Below are 26831 nucleotides of genomic sequence, written 5' to 3'. Positions count from 1 at the left end.
AACCCACAATATAGAGACAATATTTTGATGTATTTTTCCAAGTTTTATTTCATTTTTGTATTTTAAAGTGAAAGTTATTCTTTAGCAATAAGACATATATTCTGCTTTTTCTCTTAAATACTTCAAAGTACTTCAAAATATTTCTAACATAAGCATCAAATTTTTAATGATAGTGTTTTACTGAAATGGTTTTGGATTTTTAAATGGATTTTAGATTGTTAAGATAGTGTATTTGATCAATACATGGTTCTTATGTGCCTACTATGTGTATGAAACTGTGCTAAGTGGTGAGATAAAGAGCTATGGTTTTTATCTTTGAAAAGTTAAACAGTTGTCAAGACAAGACATCAAAGCATCAAGGCTTGAAGTTTAACAGTGACAAACGATATTGATAGTTGCTTGGTATGCCAGAAGAAATGTCCTATGCTATATGCTCAATTTCTTTCTTTCTTTTTTTTTTTTTCTGAGACAGAGTCTCACTCTGTCACCCAGGCTGGAGTACAGTGGTGTGATCTTGGGTCACTGCAACCTCTGTCTCCCAGGTTCAAGTGATTCTGCTGTCTCAGCCTCCTGAGTAGATGGGGCCACAGGTGTGCGCCACCATGCCTGTCTAATTTTTGTATTTTTAGTAGAGACGGGGTTTCACTGTGTTGGCCAGGCTGGTCTCGAACTCCTGGCCTCAAGTGATCCGCCTGCTTTGGCCTCCCAAAGTGCTGGGATTACAGGCATGAGCCACTGTGCCCGGCCTATATACTCGATTTCTTAATGATAATAACGAATAAGAATTTTAGAGTAGGCCAGGTGCAGTGACTCATGTCTATAATCCCAGCACTTTGGGAGGCTGAGCTGGGCAGATCACTAGCTCAGGAGTTGAAGACCAGCCTGGGCAACATGGCAAAACCCTGTCTCTACAAAAATACAAAAATTAGCTGGACATGGTGGCACGCATCTGTAACCCCAGCTACTTGGGAGGCTGAGGTGGGAGGATCCTTTGAGCCCAGGTGGTTGAGGCTGCAGTGAGCTGATATCGTGCCACGGCACTCCAGCCTGGGTGACAAAGTGGAGACCCTGTCTCAAAACAAATAAAAACTTAGAAGAGGGAGAGAGGACTTGTAATTCAGTTGGGAAGGATGAGTAAGATTTATGTAGATGAATGATGAATGGAATGGGGTTGGGCCTGAATATGTGTCAGGACTTGTGGATAGAGTGAAAGTGAGAATATTCAAAATAGTCAAACAAAATATGGGAGAAGAGTAGTGGTTTTGTAAGACAAATCATTAGAGAAAAAATTGAAAGCCAGATTGGGTCCAGACTATGAAATGCTTTCAATGTAAGGCCCAAGGAGTTTGAATTTAAAGGATATTGATCTAGGAGAGAAGTAGGTGTAGGGGAAGTAGGCTGAAAGAAAGTACTGTTCTAGGAAGACTAGGAAAGATGATACTAACATTTTGAGATTGGAGGATGTTCAGGTTGTATGAACAGAAGCTATGAATTCAAGCTTAATTGATCAGTTGGAAAGGGACAATTGAGGATGAGAAATTCTGTTTCAGTTGTGTTAATCTGTCAATGTTAGACCATAGACTCATGGTACTGGTACTCAAGAGAGAAGTCAATGCTATTTACCTTTTTCTCTACAGCTTCCAAACTACAAAAACTTTAAAGGCACGATTCAAGAACTTGGTCAAAACCAGTATGCAGTCAGTGGTGAAATATTTGTAGTGGACAGAAACACAGTAGAAATTACAGAGCTTCCAGTTAGAACTTGGACACAGGTCAGTGTAAATATGTGATCTGCCTGAGGGAAGGGCAGTGTATTAAGCAATTTTTTCTGGTAAGGATGATTCCACCGTTGTTGGTCCTAAGCGTGCGTAGTGTTAAAAAATTCCTGTACCTTCTTTTACCCTTCAGTTGAATTTGTGCTTTGAATATTTAAATAGTATTTATATCTAAGTAGCGTAGTATGACTTATGTTAGGTAAGGCTTTTATAGACTATTATCTTTGTATTTATTTAAAATAAAAGGAGTAGAATATGACAGTGTTTTTAATTCTTGTAAATATGGTCAGTAAATTCATGTCAGCATCAGCTTTACAAATCTAAAAGTATGCATGTCACCTCTTGACAGTTCCAGTTGATGTCATCCTTTTCATACTCAGCCTTTATCTTGCCCTTTAGAGTATGAGTGGGTCAGCACCATTACTTCTTATGTCTTTTCCCACCACCGAGATCCCTGTGTATTGCCTTCTATACTGATTGGATAGGAGATGATAGAGATTGAGGTTTCCTTTTTAATTCCCCATGAGAGTTGAGAATTTTCAAGACTGTATGACTTGTAGTATGAGAACATGAGAGTGTGTCATGAAAAGAATCACTAATTTTTAAATCTTTATAGGTATATAAAGAACAGGTTTTAGAACCTATGCTAAATGGAACAGATAAAACACCAGCATTAATTTCTGATTATAAAGAATATCATACTGACACAACTGTGAAATTTGTGGTGAAAATGACTGAAGAGAAACTAGCACAAGCAGAAGCTGCTGGACTGCATAAAGTTTTTAAACTTCAAACTACTCTTACTTGTAATTCCATGGTAATTTATTAGATTTACTGTTAATTTAATCTTTCTTGCATGGTATAAGTCGGATTATTATAATTGGTTTCATGATGGGAGTGGCTATAGTAAGCCTGAAGGCATTTTTTTTTTTTTTTTTTTCCCATCCTGCAGATTTGCTGAAGATTCTAGGGGCACATTTCTTTCTTCTAGTATTGTCCACTACCCTTATTCTCAACTCTGTGTTTATGCATCTGGGCTTGAAAACACAGGATACACACATCTTCACACACATTGACTAAAAGTTATGAGAGTGGTTATTGCAGGGCCTTTGTGTACTTTATGGCCATCTCTATTAGCATTTTAACTGTAGAGTACTCATAACTCTAATCTGCTTTATTAAACTTGCACATTTATCTTTATTTATACAACTGGGGAGGAAGGTAGAAACTTTAAGTGTGTGATTCAAGTTCCATTCCAAATTAGCTTTTAGATCTAAAAAAGTAAAAAAAGTTCAGCAGTAGTACAGTGGCTGAGAAAAAGTGCCATAATCCGCTGAGAAAGGCTGATGGAAGAAAGAAAAAGGATAGAGAGGAGTTTGGGTGACTGGATTATAGCACAAGTAAATGTGAAAGCGAGAGAAAGGGGACAAATGCGTATACACAGAATATATGGGGGAGGAAAAACTTGAACATTTTTAAACTTAGCAATAGAATATGTATGTTTTCAGTTTGGGGAAAAATCATTTTTGTAGGTGGTTTTATGGTTACTTTAAGAGCCCTTTTTTTAAGGCCTATTTTTGTCTTTCAATATTATTCCTAAATACTTTTGTTGTGAGAATTGAATTTATTGGCTTGCAGTCACCAAAGAAATATTTACAGAAATGTGCTTAATAGTCTTAGTTCTGTTTAATGGTTTTTAGGGGTAGTCTGTGTTCACACACATGCATTATGGTTATATATTATGGTTATTTTAAGTATTGTAGATGTTATATAAGTTAAAATACCAGTACAGATCTATATGATCTGCAAAGTATATGTGTTTTGCTTAGGTACTTTTTGATCATATGGGATGTCTGAAGAAATATGAAACTGTGCAAGACATTCTGAAAGAATTCTTTGATTTACGATTAAGTTATTACGGTTTACGTAAGGAGTGGCTTGTGGGAATGTTGGGAGCAGAATCTACAAAGCTTAACAATCAAGCCCGTTTCATTTTAGAGAAGATACAAGGGAAAATTACTATAGGTAAGATACAACCTTTAAAAATTTGAACATTAGTTAAAATGGAAAAAAAACTTTATTAATAGAAGACATTTTTATCAGTAGAATATAAGCAAATACAAATTGAATCTCTTATCTTGATCCTAACTTTATTTTTCCCTCACATAGAGAATAGGTCAAAGAAAGATTTGATTCAAATGTTAGTCCAGAGAGGTTATGAATCTGACCCAGTGAAAGCCTGGAAAGAAGCACAAGAAAAGGTAATCATTTGCAGAAAAAGACATTCAGAGAAGCTTTTAAAAGCAACTTCCAAAACAAACAAAAATTCAACCCCTAAATTTTAAATTTAGTACTACTAAAGGTGCTGAGTTGTCTATTTAGAGACTAAAGTCTTCTGTTTATCCACAGAACAGATAAAGTACAGGAATTTATAGTACACACCCACCACAAAGCACTTGGCCAGTGTGACTCAACCAGAGCCTGGAGAAATGACTCCAGGTGTGAGAAGGTAGCTCAGTCTCCTTGACCTTTTTTCCTGAGTCTGCCATTAAAAGGTGTTGTGGTGGTGGTTTTTGTGAGGTACATGTATATTACCTGGGAATCAGACTGGTTGCACCCAGAATCAGCCTATGTTCACAGTATGGCATCCAGTCACCACTCACTTGATCTGGTTTTGGTTAATACTGGGAAGACAAGAGACAAAATGTTAATTATTATAGACAGTATTTATCAAACACCAAGCTCTGCCTCATGCTTAGATTTTTAGCCAGAGATTTAAACCCTGGAACTTCAGATTAAAAGTCTGATGTTTTATTAAGTAAGTTGCCCATTGCAGATCACAAAATAGTAATAATAGTTAAATGAATGGGATATTGAAGCTTTGAGAGTCCCCTCAATTAGCTTTTTGATGTTTTGTATAACTAAAAGAAAAATTTAAGCAACAGTACAACATTGTGATTGAGAACAGAAATTTATTACAGAAGAGGAAGAAAAGTTGAATGATTAATTTTTTGGGTATTAGATTATTTTGTGCATATATGATTCCATAACATTAACATCTTTAAAACATAGTTATAATTGTGTGACATAACTTGAACCTTTAAACTTCCCTGTACTTGAGTTCTCAATCATAATGTTTTTGTATTTTTTATCAAACTACATTGAAATATTGCTTTTGCTTACATTTTTCAGTTTGAAGTCAATAAAAGTCATATATTAAAGTGAGTAAAATTAGACTAAGTTATATAGAATAGCAATTACATATTAAGATAATAGGCTTATTCATTATTTGAAGAAAATTCGGTAGGACAAGATGGGCGCATTCAGAGTTAAGATGATTGAAGCCCTTTGTTTTCCTCTTAATGTGTTTTATTGAACCCCAAATTATGGTTTCTACAACACTTGCCTTTTGCCTTTCTGTATCACCGTTGGTTTAAACTATATGTTTTTTTTTAAAAAAAGTAACTAGTAAGCTGATGAATTTTTAATGCTTAGTCTTAAAAGATAAAGATTTCTACAGTGTCAGAATGTCCTTCTGGTGGAAGTAGAATTTATGGGTAAAGCCTAGCTTGATTTCAGTTATTGCATTACCACCATCAGAATTTTTTCAGCATCTTGGCCATGTGTACATTTTGGGGAGTTCAGGTAACAAAAGGAACTGCTCTTACAAGAGTGTCCTATTATACAGAGTTGGAGAAAAGAGAATTATAAAGTAGCTAATTAGAAGATTAAAGTTTTTTGTAAAGCATAATGGAATTTTGTCATTAGAACTTGCAAAGTTTATTTTTTTTTTTAATTTCTGGAAGTGTTCTTAGTCATATTTATGTTAACGGTGATAGATACACATATTCATAGAACACTTCTTAACAATACTTTGGGTGTAGTCAAAACCTAGATCTAATAGACTAGACCCACTAAATGTGGGTCTAAACAGGATTTTGTTGTATCCTAGTGATATTTTTATAGTTGTCTAACAACCTGAATACTCCATAGAAACAAGCTGTTTCATGAAGAATTTTTCAAAAGTGTAGAATTATTTATTGTAAGTTATCTAGGTACTTATTAATCATCTATCAACTCAACAATAGCATTCCGTATTTGGCTAATGTGGCTTAATCAAATTTATAGTTTTTGTTTATATAATGAAGCATCTTGCTTTGCAGTTTTAATTTTTATCTTACTTCTGAAGTACACGTAAACTGTACTTTGTGTATATACATTGTTTTGCTTACAAATTTTAATTATAAAGCTTTTTTTTTTTTTTTCCTCTTTTGGTTACCAAAAGTAAACTTTTTGCTTTATGGAGTGTCATGGTTAACTCAGTCATTTTAAATTAAACAACTTAGATAAAATTTTATTTAATGGCTATTGTTATTTTAAAAAATTTAAAGGTGATATCACCTAAAATAACTTTTATTAAATTCATTGTATTTTGAAATTTAATATTAGCACAAAATAATTTTTTTGTTGCAGCTGTTTCTATAGACAAGGGCCTGATGAATAAAATTTCAGCAAAACCCTGACGAAATTCTTACTCTAACTCACCAACTCTTAAATTCTTAAGTGGACTTTCTCTGAGTCCTGACATGAATATTCTGGCTTTAGAGAAGTTTTTATTAAGAATTCACCCTCAGCGAGTGAATGTACCTTAACATATTTATTATAACTGTAAAATAATTTTCATAACTGGTATTTATTTTGTATTTCAGATTGTTCATTCACTCACCAGTATAAAAATCTGACAAGATGCAGTGATAAAACATTAATTCTACTCTCTTAACTTTAAAATGTGGTATCCTCTCATTTTGTTACTGAGTACCTGAGGAAATCAGTTAATTTTTCATCAGATTCCTGGATAAATAGGGATAGTGTATACCATTCCTTCTGAAGATCTTATTGTGCGTCTTTAGAAAATTTTAAACTTTTTATAAGGAAATATATTTTTATAGGTAATCCAAAATAACCCCACCATCCTGAAGATGTAGCATTTATAGTGTAGCACTTGTAGAATTTTAAACTAATTATTCAATAAAATTCAACATTAATTTGATACTATACAAGACTTTAATATACAGTTTGTTATTTTTTACAGGCAGCAGAAGAGGATGAAACACAAAACCAGCATGATGATAGTTCCTCCGATTCAGGAACTCCTTCAGGCCCAGATTTTAATTATATTTTAAATATGTCTCTGTGGTCTCTTACTAAAGAAAAAGTTGAAGAACTGATTAAACAGAGAGATGCAAAAGTATGAACTTTTGTGGGTTAAATAGTTTGAAACTATTTCAGTGTTATCTGTATCTTTTTCTTTTTCCAAAAATAAGTATTTTGATTTATCCTTCATATGTTTTAAAACTATTGAATGTTTAAACTGTACTTTTTTATTATAGGGGCGAGAGGTCAATGATCTTAAAAGAAAATCTCCTTCAGATCTTTGGAAAGAGGATTTAGCGGCATTTGTTGAAGAACTGGATGTAGGTTAAGTCTCTATTAAAATTTATTTGGAAAAGTCATGTTTATGAACAAGAATGAAATTCTTTTAAGTGATCTTAAAGTTTTCTTTAACTCTGTGAAGGTTAATATGTTTATAAGTTGAGTTAGGCTTAAGCTTCTAGTTATGTGAAGTTATAAAGAACTTCTTGTATGGAGGAATTTAAATGCTATGAAATTGAAATTTAGAATAAATTAAATCTGCTTTCAATTAGTTAAAAATTTTTAACTGAGTTTTAGATTAAATAATTGATTCAGTTTAATGTTTTCCTGGAAAGAGGTAAGGCTAATATGTGTGTATAATTGAATGTAAGTACTTTGATTTTAGGAGTAGAATGATAGTCTCTACATTTATAACAGACATTTCAATATTTGATTGTTATAACATAGTTTTTTCCAAGTAGAATTCTAATTTAAAAAATAAAAAAAATGTAGAGATATAAAAAGCACACCTTTTCTAAAATTGCCCAATTAAAATATTGGAATTAATGGTAGCATTATGAATACCTGATTTTTGAGTAGCAAAATGTAAAATACCATTTATTACTCATACTACTTTTTTTTTTTAAAGTTGCTTTGTTGATTTATTGTCTACATGCTCTACTTTTACTTCAGTGGTCTAAGTCAGAATTAGAACTCTTAAGAACAAGTGTGGTAAATTAGCTGCCTAAAAGAATTTAGAATTTTTTAGTGCTATTTTTCTAGGCTCCCTCAACGATCTTTCAAGTGCTGCAATGTGAGTCTTCCTTTTTTTGTGCTTTCCGTATATTGTTCATTAATTAGTTTTTTTGCACATTGTTTCCTGCTGAGTTATAATTTATTTAAAAATTATTCATTAAAAATGAAGCCATCATATATTAAAAGAAAAATTATTCCTAATATTATTGATATCCTGATATTGCTTTAAATTTGGTCACTAATATAGTGAAACACAGGAAACTTTTGTGGTTATGCCTGTACATTTCCTCACTATTGAAAAGTCGTCATTCAAAACAACCCTAGCAAAAAATACTCTTTCACTTTTAATTTATCATCTTATTTTATTATTTGACAATTAATGAAATAGGTCCAAACAACTTATTTAAATTCTGGATGTATTTATTTTTAACATTTAAAAAGATTTAGACTTAAATTTCATGTCTCTCTGTATCATTTAAAGTCTAATGATAACATTAATTGAATATCTATTGTACACTGGCACAGCCTTCTATGTAATGCTTAGAGTGACCCTCACCACAACTTCAAATGAATGAGGTTATCATTAACCTGTATTATACAGATAAGGATCCTGAAGCTTGGAGAGGTTAAGTCACTTTCTTAGGAATTATATCATTATAGAATTACTCATCTTCTCAGACACCCACTTTCCTCATCTATAAAATGGGGATCACAGGATTTTTTAAATGCCTAGCACATGGTGGATGCTCTATAAATTATCTGGCTTTTTTGTTTTTTTTTTTTGAGACATGGTCTTGCTCTGTCACCCAGGCTGGAGTGCAGTGGTACAATCATGGCTCATTGCAGCCTCAACCACTTGGGCTCAAGCAGTCCTCCTACCTTAGTCTCCTGAGTAGCTGGGACATGTGTGCCACCACATCTGGCTAATTTTTGCATTTTTGTGTAGAGATGAGGTTTTGTTATGTTGCCTAGGCTGGTGTCAAACTCCTGGGCTCAAGTGATCCACCTACCTCAGCCTCACAAAGTGCTGGGATTACAGGTGTGAGCCACTGCAACTGGCCTCTGTTATTTCCTGAGGATACATAACTAGTAAGTGGAAGTGCAGTTGAAATCCAGAACTATCTGATTTCAAAGCTTGGGTAATTTCTATTAAACTGTTGTGCTACAAAGATCTTTTAAAAAAATCTCTAAAGAAATGTCATTTTTTCCTTGTGCCTTTCAAAGCTTATTTTAAGGAATAATTCTGGTAAATGCAAAATCTAGGATATTAATCATGATTATATCCTAATTTATCATTACATAGACCTGCCTGAGTTCAATCTAATTATATTGGCACTTTTAACTTCTCATACTTTCTGACTTTAATTTACATTTAGGAGGTTTTTTTTCATATTTTCTATTACGACTAAAGCAATAGAAAAAAATAACTTCATACTTATTAGCAGAACTGCCTTTGTATATGATTTGCTAGGATTTTGATGATACTAGGTTATCAGAGGTCTTGATTCCATAATATATCACGGGATCCAAGAATTGGCAGAGACTTCTCAGGTCATTTAGTCACTATTGCCCCCTCGTATTACAAATGGGAAACTAGTTAGATGAATTGGGATTACAATCCAGGTCTTCTGATTTAGAATTCTTTATTTTTTTTCCATTATTTAATCTTGAATTAGATAAGTTAAAAGGAAAGCTTTATTCTTTACTGAGTGAATAACATTTGTTTCAGTATTTTATGAAGTAGTGATTATCTTTTCTAAGAAGTTGTTTATGTTCCTTCTGCCTTATGATTATACTTTAGAAAGTGGAATCTCAAGAACGAGAAGATGTTCTGGCTGGAATGTCTGGAAAAGCAATTAAAGGTAAAGTTGGCAAACCTAAGGTGAAGAAACTCCAGTTGGAAGAGACAATGCCCTCACCTTATGGCAGAAGAATAATTCCTGAAATTACAGCTATGAAGGCAGATGCCAGCAAAAAGTTGCTGAAGAAGAAGAAGGTATGACATACCTCTTGTCATTGATAGACTCATTTCTATAATGAAATATATGTATAATTTAAAAAATTTTAATGCGTGTTTAAATCATGCTTTGTTTTATTCAAAATATATTTCAATGGTAATAGGAAATCCTTCTATGACAGCAGTTGATCTATAGAAGGAAAACATATTGGTAAAGGATCACATATTGTAAAGAGCTACTTAATTCAGCTTTTAAAATGAGAAATAGAAACACTCCACTCAGCTGCCTTCTAAGTTAAAATCTTGGAAGCCGGCCGGGCACGGTGGCTCACGCCTGTAATCCCAGCACTTTGGGAGGCTGAGGCGGGCGGATCATGAGGTCAGGAGGTCAAGACCATCCTGGCAAACATGGTGAAACCCCGTCTCTACTAAAAAATACAAAAAATTAGCTGGGCGTGGTGGTGGGCGCCTGTATCACAGCTACTTGGGAGGCTGAGGCAGGAGAATGGTGCGAACCCGGGAGGCGGAGCTTGCAGTGAGCCGAGATTGTGCCACTGCACTCCAGCCTGGTTGACAAGAGTGAGACTCCATCTCAAAAAAAAATAAATAAATAAAAATAAAAATCTTGGAAGCCAAAACAAAACAAAACAAAAACCTCCAAAAACCCAACCATAAGTATATCAACTTTAAAGTATAAACTTTAGTGCTACATCATAATCCATTAGAGAAGACTTAGAGTGGGAAAGGGTCTGTTTGGCTTACAAAGTACTCTGTCATCTTTTACTATTTACTTGTGTTTGTCCTTAAACTACCAAGCACATCCTGTGTCATTGGCACTGATAGGTGCTATTGAGGATTAAAAAAAAAAATGGCGTTGACCTAACCTCAAGCAGGATTGACCAGAGTTAGCCGGAAGAAGGAAACATCAGAAAAAATGTTCAGAGCTGAGGAAACAGGGTGCATGTTGGTCTTAGAGAGGCTAATGTTTTTGGACAGGTTGATTTTTACAATCCAGAAAGTATACGTTTAGATGTGTCCAACAAGTAGGTGGGAATATAGCCTCATTCTTACTAGAGCTTGGAAAATGAGCCTAAAGAGCTAGAGTTAGAGATTGGAGAGTTCTCTGTGCAGAGCTAATATTTGAAGCGTAGGTGCATTTTGACACCAGAGTAGCCTTTCTCTTCTGTTCTGATAAACTCAGGTCTCTACTACTTTCCTCTTACTTGGCTCCCCACGGCACACAGGTTCATTTACCCAGATACTCTTGCCTGTCTCCCTCGGAAGATGGTTTCTTTTCAGTTGGCGTTTGTCAGATTCATTTCTCAGCATTCTTTTCTCTACCTTATATGGTCCCCTCAAGTAACCTTATCTATGCCCAGAGCTTATTCCATTCATACTGATGGCCCCTAAATCTGTGTTCCTAAGCTATAATGCTTTCAGGAGTGCCAAGCTCATAGCCACTTGAATGCTTGAAGCCCATCAAACTCAGCATGTCTGAAACTGGATTCATTATCCTGATTTCAAAATCTGTTCTTTGCCTTATCCCAGTTAATGACACTATCAGCCATCAATGATATAAGCCAAAAACCTGGGAGTTTTGTCATTTAATCAGTAACTAAGTCCTATTGACTGCCTACTAAGTAATTCCAAAATCCACCCCCTTATCTTGGTCCCCATTTGACATTGCCTTAGAATTTTGTGTTTTCTCTGAGATACTTTAAAGTGGTCCTCTTAACTCTCTGTTTCTAGTCATTTAATCATGATTTCTCCCCTTTTCTACTTCATTCCTTTAAGTTCTATATTTTACTACTAGAATGAAAATTCTAAAAAGTCAGTCTGATTGTTAGGCTTAAAAATCTTCAGTGACTCCCCACTGACTATGCACAAATTCTTGGTATACAGTGTTAGCACCTGTATGCCTCTGTGTGTTTCTTCTCCTGGCTACTTTGTTCTCACTTTTCCTTGAGTTCTAGCAGACTATTACATTTAAAAACCTAATTCTTTAAACATTTAATTCCTGTTAGATGGCTTTGTGCCTTCTGCCTGGGATGCCCTTCCCTCCTTAATTCCCACCTGGCAAACCTATGTGTTTCCTTTAGAACTCAGTCAGAAAAGGTACTTCTCCATGGAGACTTTTTTGACCCTGCCTTGAGCAGAGTTTCTCACTTCTCCCCTTGGGCCATGGCTGTACCAGCCTCTATATTTGTTATTTGTATTGTAATGACTCATCCTTGTTGTGTGCCTCTGTGTTTTTTGTTTTTGTTTTTTTACCCCATGGTCTTAGGGTTGGGGTCTACCTTACAGTGCCTAGCAGTGCAAGACACATGTTACTTATTTTCCTTCAATAATTTGAAGATTTTTTTTTTTTTTGAGACAGAGTTTCGCTTTTGTTTCCCAGGCCAGAGGCTCACCGCAATCTCCGCCTCTCAGATTCAAGCAATTCTCCTGCCTCAGCCTCCTGAGTAGCTGGGGTTACAGGATTTTTTAATGGTATATAAAGGCCTGCCTGAGCTATAGAAACTTATTTTGCAGGTACCTTTTAGCTAGTGGTCTGGAAATCCCTCTGATAATCAAAAGCTGCCTTCTTATTTTTTATGGTTGCTTCTAAGTAGCTGTCATTTCACTGAATGTACTGGAAAATTAAGAGTTACATGCAATATTATTTACTATAGATAAGTGAAGTAAAACATGGTCTGATCAAAGTCAGCTGTTAGGACCTCATCAGAATCACTGTTTTTAAATTTACCTGATTTGAAGGCGCTATCTGTTGATTGAAACTATCTCTAAAATATGTGATGTTTTTATTTTTACTCGTGGCTTGATTTTCTTTTTATTATGTAGGGTGATCTTGATACTGCAGCAGTAAAAGTGGAATTTGATGAAGAATTCAGTGGAGCACCAGTAGAAGGTGCAGGAGAAGAGGCATTGACTCCATCAGTTCCTATAAATAAAGGTCCCAAACCTAAGAGGGAGAAGAAGGAGCCTGGTGAGAAATGATTATAGTTTTGCATGTGTGTGAGAGAAAAAATATTTGTATAGAGTATTACTAGATTCTTTTGATTGTGCTCTTTTTCTGGTAGTTGAAATAATGCCTTCAATTTTCATAAACGTTTATTTTGTAATGAACTTTTCATTATAACAATTTTATTTTTACTAATGACATTTCTATAAATATGGATACATACCTTATTGCTATTCTTTTGCTTTAGGTACCAGAGTGAGAAAAACACCTACATCATCTGGTAAACCTAGTGCAAAGAAAGTGAAGAAACGGAATCCTTGGTCAGATGATGAATCCAAGTCAGAAAGTGATTTGGAAGAAACAGAACCTGTGGTTATTCCAAGAGATTCTTTGCTTAGGAGAGCAGCAGGTATTGTAACACATTTAATATTACTGTATATTATAGTTTAACCTATACGTTGGTATTGTTAGTATTATCAGTGTTGTTTAAGTACTAAGCCATTAGTATTTCAGAAGTTAAAGTTAGGAAGAAGGAAAAAATTGCCTTATAGAACAGTCTTTCTAGCAAAGTTGGACATAAATTTCTCTAAAGTGAATCATGTTTCTTTCCTGATTTTTATTATAAAGTTTGGTTTATATTCCTTCCACAGTTTTAAGATGTTTGGGAAAAAATGTACCTTGCCACAATACCAGCAATGATAGATCTATTAATATTAGAAGTGCTTTGTGGTTTTGTTTTTGTTTGGTTTTCTACCCCTTATATCATGAAAAATTTCCTCCCGCTTTAAAAGTCTGAGTACATAGCTCTCTTTTAGATAATGATAGTTGTGCGGGTGAACTGCAGAATCCCATTTTGCTGTTATAATAATATAGTACTTATAAGAATATAATTTGATCCTTTCTGAATTTTCATTAAGGAGAAGTGTTGAAGTTATTAACATCTAGTGAGTTTTCTATTTTGTACATTCTTCTGAAATTTTGTTATTTGAAAATTTGTCCTAATTTATTAAAATGAATGATACAACATTGTGGGTGTTTACCTCTGGGAAGTACATTTTTAATTATATATCAGACCTTAAATTCTTTGGTTCTGCAATCACCAAGTGATTGAATTTCTTTCCCTAGTGTACATAGGTAGCATAATATAGGTGAATCTTTAATATGAGTAAGTTATATGAAAATGGTTTATTACATTAAATGCTTTAAAATTGTATTTACATACATCAAAAGTGAAGTGCAAAATTAACATCCAAGTAATTTAAAAATTTTATTCCATAATACATGCTAGAAATTATAATAAAACATACTTGCTTTATGGCAATATGCCTTTCACGATAATTGGTATCTTTTTATGCATTGTATTATTGTTTTGTGAATATATTGAGGTCTTTATGTCTCCTGTCTTTTTTCATTCATCTAAAAAATTACTGTCTTTGTTATTTCATAGTAAAACTAACTCTGAAGAGAAGATAGAAGTTTTTATCCAAAAAGTTAAGAGAAAGTTTAGGTGTCGGTACAGTGGCTCACGCCTGTAATCTCAGCACTTTGGGAGGCTGAGGAGGGAGGATCACTTGAGGTCAGGAGTTCAAGACCAGCCTGGGTAACATGGCAAGACCCTGTGTCTAAAACAATTTTTTAAAAAAAATCAGCCAGGAATGGTGGCACACCTGTAGTCCCAGCTACTCAGCAGGCTGAGGGGTGAGGATTGCTTGAGCCCAGGAGTTTGAGGCTGCAGTGAGCTATGATCATACCACTGCATTTCCTGCCCAGGCAGCAGAACAAGACTCTGTGTCAAAAAAACAAGAAAGTTTAGCACTTTTAAAATAACTGTAAAATTTGTTGTTTGTGATTGCAAATATGGGAAACATTGTATTTGTTGTCATTTGTATAATGGCTGTATGAGACAAGGCCATATTGACTACTTTCCTCAGTGTTTTTGATTAATTATTAAGTATATCAATAAGTACATTAGTTTATGCTCTCCTAACATGCACAGTATTATGTGGTAGCCTCCTGGAAAGTGTAAGACAGACATTAACACTACCAGATAACTAAGGCCAAAGTTGTTGGCTTTTATTCTGTAAATGCTTGCTTTTATTTCTTATGGTATTTTTAGAGATGGTTGGAATATACTTCAAATGCTTTATCAGTAATAATAATTCATGTATACAAAGCTAGGATTTGAGTTTAACATTCATTTTTATTTTTCCTCCTAGCCGAAAGACCTAAATACACATTTGATTTCTCAGAAGAAGAGGATGATGATGCTGATGATGATGATGATGACAATAATGATTTAGAGGAATTGAAAGTTAAAGCATCTCCCATAACAAATGATGGGGAAGATGAATTTGTTCCTTCAGATGGGTTAGATAAAGATGAATATACATTTTCACCAGGCAAATCAAAAGCCACTCCAGAGTAAGTAATGCTATTTAGTGATGTGGTATAGTTAATTGTTGTAAACATTTGCCAAAGATATTATAGTGAGCTCTTCTAAGAAATTGTTATCATTCTAGGCAAGTTCTTCTTCATGAAGGAATCAATCTTGTTAATATTGCAGCTGTTCCCATCACAGTTGCTGTAGTTTAAAGGAAGGATTGGCAAACTTTTTCCATAAAGGGCTCAATAGTAAATGTTTTAGGCTTCGTGGGCCATATTGTTTCTATCACAACTACTTAATGCTGCCATTCTAGTAAAAAAGCAGCCACAAATGATATGTAAATAAATCAGTGTAGCCATGTTCCAGTAAAATATTGTTTACAAAAATAGGCAGCAGGTCCATGGGATATAGTTGGACAACCCCTGGTTTTGAGAAAAGTTACTAAGTCCTTAGAATTGGGAGGTTTGTTTCTTCCCTAAATTTGGCCTTGATAGATTTTTCTTGCTTTTGGTGAGCGTGAATACATCTGGGATTTGAGGTTTGTGAACTATTTTAGATGTTTTTTTAAAAGTATTTTCTCACCTATTACAATTGGCCTTCACCAGATCCTGAAATAATTGCCCACCTGTAGTCTTGAATTAGAAATAGGATTGTTGCCTGGTGTGATGGGAATTCTGTCTTTTTCCTTGGGTTTTTGTCCATAGTTTGCTGATCTTAAATTCTGGAATGGTTATTTCTATCAACTGTAGAATTTGGTTTAAGAATTTGGTTAAGTATTCAAAGTATTTTGAATAACTTTAAACCATTGCTTAGTTTCCATTCTTTTTTATATTAAATAATTGATTTGTATGGTGTCTGTGTGCATACGTGGTATGTGCACATGGATCATGGGTATGTGTGCACACTTTTACACATAAGAGAGAAAGAGTTTTATTACCCTGTCTTTAACAGAGAAAGAGAAAGAAATGAAAACTAAAGTTTTGTTCTGTGATTATAATCCTGCAGTAAATATTATATATAATTTATCAGGATTGAAATCAGATATTTAAATTGTATCCTCTGTGGTGTTTATTTTCTTTCTAATAGAAAATCTTTGCATGACAAAAAAAGTCAGGATTTTGGAAATCTCTTCTCATTTCCTTCATATTCTCAGAAGTCAGAAGATGGTATGTTCATTTAGTCTTTTCATTGGTTATTGTATTATTGCTTTTAGTGGTGGAGAGAAAACAGTAAATAAATCGTTAGGTCATGATTTAACTTCAGAATTTTTAATGAGTAGAAAACTTCCTTTTTATATTTTGCTCAAGATAATAAGGCTTCTTTACTTTTTCTGAGGTGATTCCTAACTAATTGGTCAAAATAGGCATTATGGAAGCATTTAGGTGGACAGGCAAATGCTTATCTGTGTTTATGGGTGTGAGTGTATGTGTAGTGTTTTAATGAGAGAAAAGAAATAATGAAATTTTGAAAGCTTGAAATTTGATTTTCATGGCAATGTGAATGTATATACGACAGTTTTCTAAATCTGTAAGGGCACCAGTGTGATTGCAGATTGGTTGTTACCTGAGAGATTAAAACCGTCATAAGAACAAATTTAATCAGTGTGTATACTTCTTGTTTCGTATTTTTTTTGTGTATGGAATTTTTAAGGTCACTTAATTGATTCACTATCATTTTTTAATACACACATCTATACATTTAGACATATTTGGTACATATTCTATATGTATACGTACTCATTTTTGACAGTGTGTCAAAAGAGTTGTGTAAACATATTTATTTACATCCAAGTAGCTATTTTAAAAGTTTGTGCTATGGTGTTAGGGAAGAACGCATTACACTAATTTGAGTGCAAGAGTAAACTGAAGGTAAGCCTGTCTGCCTTTTAAATTAGTCTTCAAAAATTTATTTAAAAATAGGAATACTTACTATTCTTTTAGATTTAAACATTATTACTGATATTCCTGAAATGGTTAATAGTATTATTTGTGTAGGTACTAAAATAATACAGTGGGACATTTTCATATCTCATTTTAAAATAAATTGGCAGCATGTATTTTTGAATTGGTCAGTTATGTTTTAAATATTTAGCATTTGGGACTTTTAATTTTTACTACTTTATGCACTTCTGTGTTATTTCACCACATAGTTAACATTTTTGGTGTATAACTGATACATTTTATTTTTAGCTGTTTGTATATTGTGGATTATTTGGTCACAAAATAGTAACATAAGATCAATTGTCTAGCTAAAGGGAAGTCATCAGTTAAAAGAGTCAAAGTTTACTGAGAGATCTTTATAACATCTCTTTACTAAAAGAAGGCTTTGCAATTTTTAGATTCAGCTAAATTTGACAGTAATGAAGAAGATTCTGCTTCTGTTTTTTCACCATCATTTGGTCTGAAACAGACAGATAAAGTTCCAAGTAAAACGGTAGCTGCTAAAAAGGGTATGTACTTATATTTGATTGAGTTAAGCATTGGATAGAGATAGTTAATGTAAAAGGAAATGTAATTTAATTTGAAACTATTTGCATTTTTTTATCATAAAACAATTAAGAAGTATAAGTGCTTATAAGGAGAACCTCTCGTTTTCTAGCCATCTGAGGGCGTTAATAAAATTTCTGTAAGACTTAATTTTAAAGCTGTTGTAATTATAAAATAATCCCGTGCATTACTATCTAAAGATAGCTTTCTACAAAAGCTCCCTTGTGGTTAGGTTGTAATGGAGATTAAAATTTTGTCTTGCTAGTAGCTTGCTTCTGTTATCTATGTTGATCATGACTCAACTCCTTATGTGGAGGGATTGGTCAGCTCAGTTGAGGTCCTCTTTTTCTATGTGAGTCATGCAGCTTCTCTCTTTTTCACAGCCTTAGATTGGCCACAAAACACTTTGAGTTGATTAATGAATCTCTTACTAGTACCAAGATATATGTACCGTGGTCTTTTTGAAAGAGGTCAGTATTTGTGCTTTGTGTTTGAAGGATGACACTTAAAAAAAACCCCACAAATCTAATTGAGATGTGTGCTATTTAAGACAGCAAGTAAATAATATGGATTGTTCCCTCAAGGATTTTAAAAATTCACAACAGACAACATCATTACAGACACATGTATTGAATGTAGCAGAACAACAATTTTGAAAAGTCCTGCTTATTCTGAATGCAGTAGAACCATATTGAGAAACTGGTTATTTACAAGAGTCTCTGTAGCCAACACACTGGGTGACCTACCCATGTCCCTTACCACTTAGTGCATATTGGGCAATATCTGCCTTTCGTTGCCTGAGGACTTCCTCTTTGCCACTGTGCTGGAATATTAACACCCCCCTGCTCCCAGCTGCCTTTAACTAGCAGATTGAGGAAAGTTGGTCTATAAATATCTCAGTGTCCTTGCCTCTCATGTGAGCCAACTGTGGGATGTGTGTTTCACACTGGGACTCAAAAATTTCTTATGGAATTAAGCTCCTAGAGTGATGATTGGCTTGGTAACTTACCTATTACTGGCTGCCTTCTCTTCATTGTCTCATTTTTGTCTCCCCCTCCTTTATCTCTCAAATAAATACTTATACTTGAATCCATACTCTAGGATTAGGCAGATTGGCCCAAATCTGGGGAACCCACATTGAGATGGACCCTATAATTTCTCTTTTTTAAAAAAACAATCAGGCTGGGCGCAGTGGCTCACACCTGTAATCCCAGAACTCTGGGAGGTCGAGGCAGGCAGATTGCTTGAGGTCAAGAGTTTAAGACCAGCCTGGCCAACATGGCAAAACCCCATCTCTACTAAAAATACAAAAATTAGCCTGGTGTGGTGGCGTATGCATGCCTGTAGTCCCAGCTACTCAGGAAGCTGAGGCACAAGAATCGCTTGAACTTGGGAGGCAGAGGTTGCAGTGAGCTGAGATGGCACCACTGCACTCCAGCCTGGACGGTAGAGTGAGACTCCATCTCAAATAACAACAACAGAACAATCAAAAAGCACCTTTAAAAAATAATCTTCATATGAGCATCTTATAAACACCCTGAAAACTTGGGAGCCGTATTACTTCCTGAAACATACCCCGTTTCCTTCATCAAACTGTTCACCCATATTTAACCTAATGAGTTTAGCATGACCAAAAAGCTAGATTATCATGGTACCTATCCTACTTGCTTCCTTCTTCAGTAGCTGAACTGGCCTTGTCTAAGTTGAATAGGTAGACTGCCTGTGTGGTGTGATTTCAGGGACCCCAGCAAGTCCTCAGCTTTCCTTTAGCCTCCCTTACGAAATATAATTCCAATAAAATATCATTTCAAGAAGAGGATGCATCATATCCCTCTGTGGGATTGTCTATGTTAACTCCAAATTGCGTATGTTACACAAGTTAAATTCTGTAGTTCCAATAGTTTACAGCAGAAAGGCAGCTATAGTACTCAGATATCTGACCTGTTTGCCTGGTAGAATTGAAAGTGCCATGTAACTCCAAGCCAAGGAAAAAAAGTGGTTCCTAGAACACCTGGCTAAGTTTATACTCCCTGCTAGGAGCTGCCCTGTGGTTCTTGTGGTAGATATAGTCATGAAGACTCAGGTGGGAAAAGCCACACAATCTGGGTGCCACTTTCCTAGGGCTCCTCCTGCTCTTGGCTAACGAGGGGCCTTATTTGTAGTGTCTCAAATTGCGACTGGAATACATTTTCCATAGAATCAGTGTAGGTTTTTTTTTTTTTTTAAACAAAGTCTACAGTTAATATATTTTCTTCCAAATTAGGTTTTCTTAATTACAAAAAGTGATTTATCAGTTTTTTTTTTTTCTTTTTCTTTTTTTTTTTTTGAGACAGAGTCTTGCTCTGTCACCAAGGCTAGAGTGGAGTAGCGTGATCTTGGCTCACGGCAACCTCCCTTGCCTGGGTTCAAGCGATTCCTCTGCCTCATCCTCCCAAGTAGCTGCGACTACAGGCACACGCCACCTCACTGGGCTAATTTTTTGTATTTTTAGTAGAGATGGGGTTTCACCATGTTGGGCAGGCTGGTCTCGAACTCCTGACCTCCAGTGATCCGCCTGCCTTGGCCTCCCAAAGTTCTGGGATTACAGGTGTAAGCCACTGCAACTGGCCTTATTTATCAGTTTTCACATAGAACTGCAGATAAAGCTGTAAAACAAGGTCTATTTTTCAAAATTCCAGAAAGCAAAGGCCTGGTATCAATTGTCTACTTATCTAGGATTTTATATTTCTTTCCACATAAAAATGCCAAGTCTGGATTTCAGCTTTTGAATGGAAGTGAGTTGGTTTCTATTCATTGTATTCGAGGATCCCATACATTTTTTTCTCTAAAACATTCTAAAAGTTAGGACTTAATCTGTGGTTATATCTGGGTTATAATTAATTTATCAAATATGCTACTCTTTTGTCATGACTATTCTGTATTTAAAAGTTACTGCTTAATTTATTTTAATGGCTCTTCCTTAAAATGTCTTAATTGTATTACCTAAGGGCAAATTATACATAATTAAATAAAAAGCATTTTGTCATCTATGAGAAATTGTTTGCCTTTACATTGCCGCCAAGCAGAGAGAAACCATTTCATTATTTAAGGCGACTCAATTTTTTTTTTTGAAGATAGAGTTTTGCTCTTGTTGCTCAACTGGAGTGCAGTGGCGCAATCTCAGCTCACTGCGACCTCCCGGGTTCAAGCGATTGTCCTGCCTCAGCCTCCCAAGTAGCTGGGATTACAGGCATCTGCCACCACACCTGGCTAATTTTTTTATTTTTAGTAGAGATGGGGTTTTACCGTATTGGCCAGGCTGGTCTTGAACTGCTGACCTCAGGTGATCCACCCCGCCTTGGCCTCCCAGAGTGCTGGCATTACAGGTGTGAGCCACCACGCCCAGCCAGGCAACTCAGTTTCTAATCAGCTATAAGAAATTCCATTTATATAGGACTCTCTTCAGTTTGGTTTGTTGGTAAGTATATTGACCTGTGAAATGGAAATTTGCTTACTAGGAAAACCGTCTTCAGATACAGTCCCTAAGCCCAAGAGAGCCCCAAAACAGAAGAAAGTAGTAGAGGCTGTAAACTCTGACTCGGATTCAGAATTTGGCATTCCAAAGAAGACTACAACACCAAAAGGTGAGGATTATCTTCTTATAACCCTTTAAACATATGCTGTGTGGAAAAGATTGAATTTTTTCTACCTCATTGAATTTAGAGAGGCTAGGTATCTATTTTGTTTTAAATTGCTTTACTCCTCAGTAAGCAGTGTGTCTAGGAATCAGTGCTGAATATAGTCCAAAGGAGGCATAGCAATTTAGTTCAGTCACTTTGTTTTACAAATTAAAAAATTGAGGCTCAAAGAGGTTAAATAAGAATCCCTAAGAATGGTCCAAATTCTCCCCTGCAGCCAACTCACTGAAAGTTGTTATTAAAAAGTCAGATCAGTACTCCACACTAACTGTGACACTTATAGTAATGGGCTAGATCCAGGACTCTTAGGCTAGAACTTTTTTTCTCACCTAAGAAATAACTGTATTCAGGGCCACACAAGGAACAGCACCAGTTCTCCATGGCATCCCCTCTTTAACTCCAGAATCTGGAAAGCCCTTGAAGATGTTTTGTAAAATATGTTTGTAAGACATGATATGAGGGTAGCTCATGCTGTGAGGGTAGCTGCTCTACCTTTTATTCAACTGAAGGATATCTTCCTCAGTGTGTTTCTTATATTTCTTTAAGGAGTGGTTGGGATAAGGAGCTGTAGACCTACAGGGAAATGGGGATAATAGGGTGGAAAAGAATCACAGTGACTGGGAAAGTAGTACTCAAGATATGCAGGATTGAAAGCCTTTATAAATTCAAAAATGCTATTTCCCTGATTCATTTGATCAAATATGACATCCCAAGATTATTTAAGTCTATCTTCGTACTTGTCCAGTCTAGCTGTCAAGGGATTTTAAAGATATAAAATTGCTATTTAGTTGTTTTATTTCATTGGCATCATTGTGGGATGGAGAACATCTGGCCCCTACTTAAATATTACCTTTTCTCCTTCCACCTCCAATGATGAGAATAAGAGGTTAGGTAGGTGAAAAAAAATGCTGCATGTGCTGAGTCTAGGTCTGAGAAGGAATATGTATTTGACATTTTATAGTTAATACTGGTGGTTCTCATATGGTGCCACTTAATGTGGGATATGCAATTGGTTGTTACTAGTCTTTGATAAGTAAAACGGAGTAAACATTTAGACCTTTATAATAATGTGTTACTAAAACAGCATGTGATTACATTTTTTAGTAATTTGTGTTCTATGGTATTTTTAAAAGTATTGGCCCATGACAAATTAGAAATGAAAAAAAATATTTAAATCCCATGTAATTTAAGAAGTACTCTTCCAAGATATTTCCTTTTCAGGCTCAAGGACCAAATAGCAAATACAAATGTTTTATGTATGAAGGGATTCATCATTAAAATTTGTCTTTGGGACTTTCCCACTAGTTTAAATGTATTTGTCAAAAAGTCTTTGGTCATGTCAACCCCAGAATTGAAATGCTACTGCCAAATTGTTTATAATCACTCATAGTAAGAGATCAGGACTGCAATGCTCCACTGATTGGGCATGCCAAAGAAATAAACTACAATGTTGTGGCATTTATCTTTTTATATTGCACTTAACCACGGAAGAAAAAACCTTTTGTATCATTTTAAGGTAAAGGCCGAGGGGCAAAGAAAAGGAAAGCATCTGGCTCTGAAAATGAAGGCGATTATAACCCTGGCAGGAAAACATCCAAAACAACAAGCAAGGTAACCGGGAACATCATTGCATATTAGTGCATGGCTTTTTAAAAAAAGATCTGTAAGTGACTTAGTTTGCTTATGACTATAGTCCTGGAACAGCTTTCCACCTAGCATCTCGTATCAATATGGGGCTTGTATTTGGTTAAGAAATTATTCAAGTATAAATTTATATAATCAGGACTATTTCCTAAATAACTGTGCTATAAATTAACCTACTTAGAACCTTCCATTTCATCCACTGAACTGTAGTAGTGTTATGCTACCTAAATATTAGACTCTTTCAGACTAAAATATTATTTTTCAGACTAAAGACTGTTTCCTTTTAACTTGGATTTATTTGACCAGGGCTAATTTGATTTTTTTTTTAATTGAATTCATTTGACTGTGGCTGATTTTTCCAATTAGTCTGACCCTTTTCCAGAAGTACACTATTTCTTTTAGGTAAATGAATGACATCAGCTCCCCCGCATCCCTTTTTATGTTGATTTCCACATTGACCTCTTCCATTCAGTCATCTTCTATGTCTCAGGTCCACCTCGGTGATGCTTTGCATTTTTTTAAACACTTACAGTGCACACATACTACACACGGTGCAGGAGTCTTGTTTCCTCCCATGAATTCTTGATATGTACTTACCAGTAGGACAGCTTGAATTTTTACTAATCTGGGCATTGTGCATACTTTTTGGGTAATATATAATTTCAGAAATAAAGGTGTTACATTTTTCAGGCTAGAACTTGGTAAATATGAAACCACCAAGGTGGTGAATTACTGTATGTAATCTTTTTCCTCCAAAAAATAAGATAACTGGTCTTACACTTAGGTTAGCATTATGATTCTAATTTTAAAAGCACCATTATTTGTAATACTTCCTAAACATAAGCGAAGTTTAAGGAGTGATAGTTCTTAATACTAGTCTTTACTTCCTTTCATAACTTTTAAATCTATTGAAAAAAAATCTAGAAACCGAAGAAGACATCTTTTGATCAGGATTCAGATGTGGACATCTTCCCCTCAGACTTCCCTACTGAGCCACCTTCTCTGCCACGAACCGGTCGGGCTAGGAAAGAAGTAAAATATTTTGCAGAGTCTGATGAAGAAGAAGATGATGTTGATTTTGCAATGTTTAATTAAGTGCCCAAAGAGCACAAACATTTTTCAACAAATATCTTGTGTTGTCCTTTTGTCTTCTCTGTCTCAGACTTTTGTACATCTGGCTTATTTTAATGTGATGATGTAATTGACGGTTTTTTATTATTGTGGTAGGCCTTTTAACATTTTGTTCTTACACATACAGTTTTATGCTCTTTTTTACTCATTGAAATGTCACGTACTGTCTGATTGGCTTGTAGAATTGTTATAGACTGCCGTGCATTAGCACAGATTTTAATTGTCATGGTTACAAACTACAGACCTGCTTTTTGAAATGAAATTTAAACATTAAAAATGGAACTGTGTTCTCTGTCTCTTTACTGAAGATAAAGGTGTAGTAAAAGCTCCCACACACCTTTAAAATAAATATATTTTATTCTTTGCCAGGAGACTCCATGGAAAAAGGTAAACAGTATATGAACATAGAAAGCATTGTTAAACAAACAATCTCAATGTACAAACAGAGCCAGTGAAAGTACATCACAGACTTGCTAATATATCAAAAAAAAAAAATTCCACTAGTGCTTAAATGAGAACTAAGAAACTGACACTTGTATCTGTTAACCACTCTACCACAGCTTTCACTCTGCTTCATAGTGATTGAACAAGGTCAAAGGAGGCAGATTCTATGCCTGTTTCTTTGGGAGTTGTTAATATTAATTAGCCCCTTGGCATCAAGAAGGCTGGAAAAAAAAATCCCAATATCAGGCATGAATCAGGAAGGACACTAGAGTTACATGGTCCAGGTGGTAGACCAGCCTGCTAATTATCCCATGAAATTTCCCTAATGGCTTGTGAACAAGTAAACAAAAACTTAACACTGAAAAGTGTTTCTGCCTTGGAGGCTATCATTACTGTAAAAAAATTTTTTTTAACTAACTGTGTAGTTATGTCATTAAACAAGTAATAAACCACTTTTAATTTAAAGTGACATTAACAATTGAACAAATGACATTTGATTAACTGAACTGGCAGTTACACTGATACAGAATTCTCTTCTGCTAGTGCAGGGAATTTGTATACTTTTACTGGGCAACATGAAATAAAAGATGCAGTTTGAGAGCATCAGAAAGAGCAAAGACAAGCTTCCATACTAACTAAAGTAGAATATCTTCAGCCTTATCTTGTCATACTGTACAATAGTCCTGTCAATAGTCCTGTTTCCTTACCTTGATGTCTTGACTATTCCATGAAAGCAAGACAGTTATCTTTTTGAACCTAGGTAGACGTGTACAGTAGTCTATTTCATAACCTTGGTGTCATGGTTATTTTGAGTATGCAAGACAAAAGGAAAGCACCAAACATACAGTATAGAAAGAACAGAGCCATACTTCTGTATGTACAAAGTCTTCAGAAACTTAACCAGGGGTAAATCATTTTGACTGGGTCTTTGCCATGCAATCTTGAGTGTTCAAAGAGGAAAATAGAAGCTTTTAACTAGTTTCTGGTTGCATGAAATGGCTGATTTTTTAAAATTGGAAAAGTTTGTATTTCTAGGTAAGTTACACAGTGAGGAGTATATATATTGATACATATGAAAACTTCTTGGTCCTTCTTGAGTTTTAATATCTTTTCAGTCCAAAAACTAAGCAGCAGTAAAAATGTTTTTTCTTGCATTTTAAATCCTGGAACTGAAGGTACTGGGGAATGTTTGAAGTAGCTAGAAAATGTCTTATTGCACGAGTGGTGACTGACTGACCCCACTGTTTTCCACTGAGCTGGGTGAGATGCTAGGACTGTGCTCTGCTGTGTTCCCACTTGAACTTGGGGTCAAGGGTTCATGTCCTTCAGAATTCTCCAGCATTTCTTGAATGAGAGGTGGCATTGATCCAGGAATTTCCATTTTCAAGGTAATTACACGCTCTGCACCTTTTCAAAAGAGATAATGGAAATATGGTTAAGATAAGGAGTTAAGCTATGACAGATAACCAGGGACCAATTTTCATATATTTTAACAGAGGTGTTTCCTAAGATTCTTGCTTAGGAATTATGAAATGTAGATATCAGGTGGCTTTTTGTTGAAAAAGATCTATCGATTACTATCACACTCATAAATACAAAGAAAGATAAATGTATTTGGAATGGGAACTGCATCCACCAAAAATCATGTGTTAGTTTATTGCAAAGTTAGTTAGATTGGGTTCTCAACCAGCTCAGACTCATAGTATGTTGATAGAGAGGGTCTTTTTATGATCTGCTAGAACTTCATTCGTCTTTTATGCAAGCAATAACTGATACAATTGCTCCTTTTGATAACAGAAAATTATGCAAACAATGCCTCCCAGAGGCTATCCTTATTTTACACCATTAAAACATTTTTACTTTGTGGAAAAGCAGCTGAGATATGGTGACGTTTAAATATGATGTCTTAGTTTCAGGAAATAACAATTTACAAAGAGAAGTTCCTGATGAAAGAAGTGTATCTTGAAAAAGACAGGTTGATGGCAGTTACCCACAAACAGAGGAGTTCACGATGTGCAGTGACTATTGACAACTAGATTTAGCAGCACTCTGTCCAGTACAATACCCACTAGGTAGCTAAATTTAAATTTGTTAAATAAAATGAGAAAAACAGTGCCTCAGTTGCATAAGCCACACTTCAAGTGCTCGAGAACCTCTTGTGTCTGGTGGCTACTGAACTGGACAGTACAGATTATTTCTGTAAT

The 26831-nt window shown here is 35.0% G+C and overlaps 2 protein-coding genes across 15 annotated transcripts in view, besides 1 other annotated feature; one reads left to right on the top strand and one right to left on the bottom strand.

The window, feature by feature from the left end:
- TOP2B (DNA topoisomerase II beta) overlaps positions 1 to 24549 on the top strand; it is a 67003-nt gene extending 42454 nt beyond the window's left edge. For 2 of the 5 annotated variants that reach the window (XM_047448821.1, XM_011534057.4), the window contains exons 22-35: positions 1638 to 1772; positions 2392 to 2592; positions 3605 to 3800; positions 3945 to 4036; positions 6868 to 7023; positions 7166 to 7249; positions 9745 to 9939; positions 12742 to 12886; positions 13110 to 13271; positions 15079 to 15283; positions 16332 to 16411; positions 21229 to 21354; positions 22925 to 23019; positions 23977 to 24549. In XM_047448821.1, the coding sequence (XP_047304777.1) occupies positions 1638 to 1772; positions 2392 to 2592; positions 3605 to 3800; positions 3945 to 4036; positions 6868 to 7023; positions 7166 to 7249; positions 9745 to 9939; positions 12742 to 12886; positions 13110 to 13271; positions 15079 to 15283; positions 16332 to 16411; positions 21229 to 21354; positions 22925 to 23019; positions 23977 to 24147 (2043 nt within the window). In that variant the 3' untranslated portion in view covers positions 24148 to 24549. Of the gene's footprint in view, positions 1 to 1637; positions 1773 to 2391; positions 2593 to 3604; positions 3801 to 3944; positions 4037 to 6867; positions 7024 to 7165; positions 7250 to 9744; positions 9940 to 12741; positions 12887 to 13109; positions 13272 to 15078; positions 15284 to 16331; positions 16412 to 17583; positions 17695 to 21228; positions 21355 to 22924; positions 23020 to 23976 lie in introns of those variants that run through there. The other 3 variants (NM_001068.3, NM_001330700.2, XM_047448822.1) reach the window with 3 other exon arrangements.
- Positions 4719 to 4722: a mitotic recombination region, noted in NCBI's record as "NUP98-TOP2B recombination region recombines with the NUP98 intron 13 (TOP2B) recombination sub-region of the nucleoporin 98kDa recombination region". NCBI's record gives the evidence for it as "EXISTENCE:nucleotide sequencing assay evidence [ECO:0000219][PMID:16166424]".
- Positions 24522 to 26831, bottom strand: part of RARB (retinoic acid receptor beta) — a 768612-nt gene continuing 766302 nt past the window's right edge. For all 10 annotated transcript variants that reach the window (NR_110893.2, NR_110892.2, NM_001290216.3 and 7 more), the window contains one exon: positions 24522 to 26034. Coding sequence is in view for 8 of the 10 variants with exons in the window: in NM_001290216.3 (NP_001277145.1) it covers positions 25838 to 26034 (197 nt within the window). In the remaining 2 variants the exon portion in view is untranslated. The remainder of the gene's footprint in view (positions 26035 to 26831) is intronic.

This window comes from Homo sapiens, chromosome 3, assembly GCF_000001405.40.
Source record: "Homo sapiens chromosome 3, GRCh38.p14 Primary Assembly".
Lineage (NCBI taxonomy): Eukaryota > Metazoa > Chordata > Mammalia > Primates > Hominidae > Homo > Homo sapiens.
Note: the sequence above shows the minus strand (reverse complement) of the source record. Positions and strands in the feature narration are given on the sequence as shown.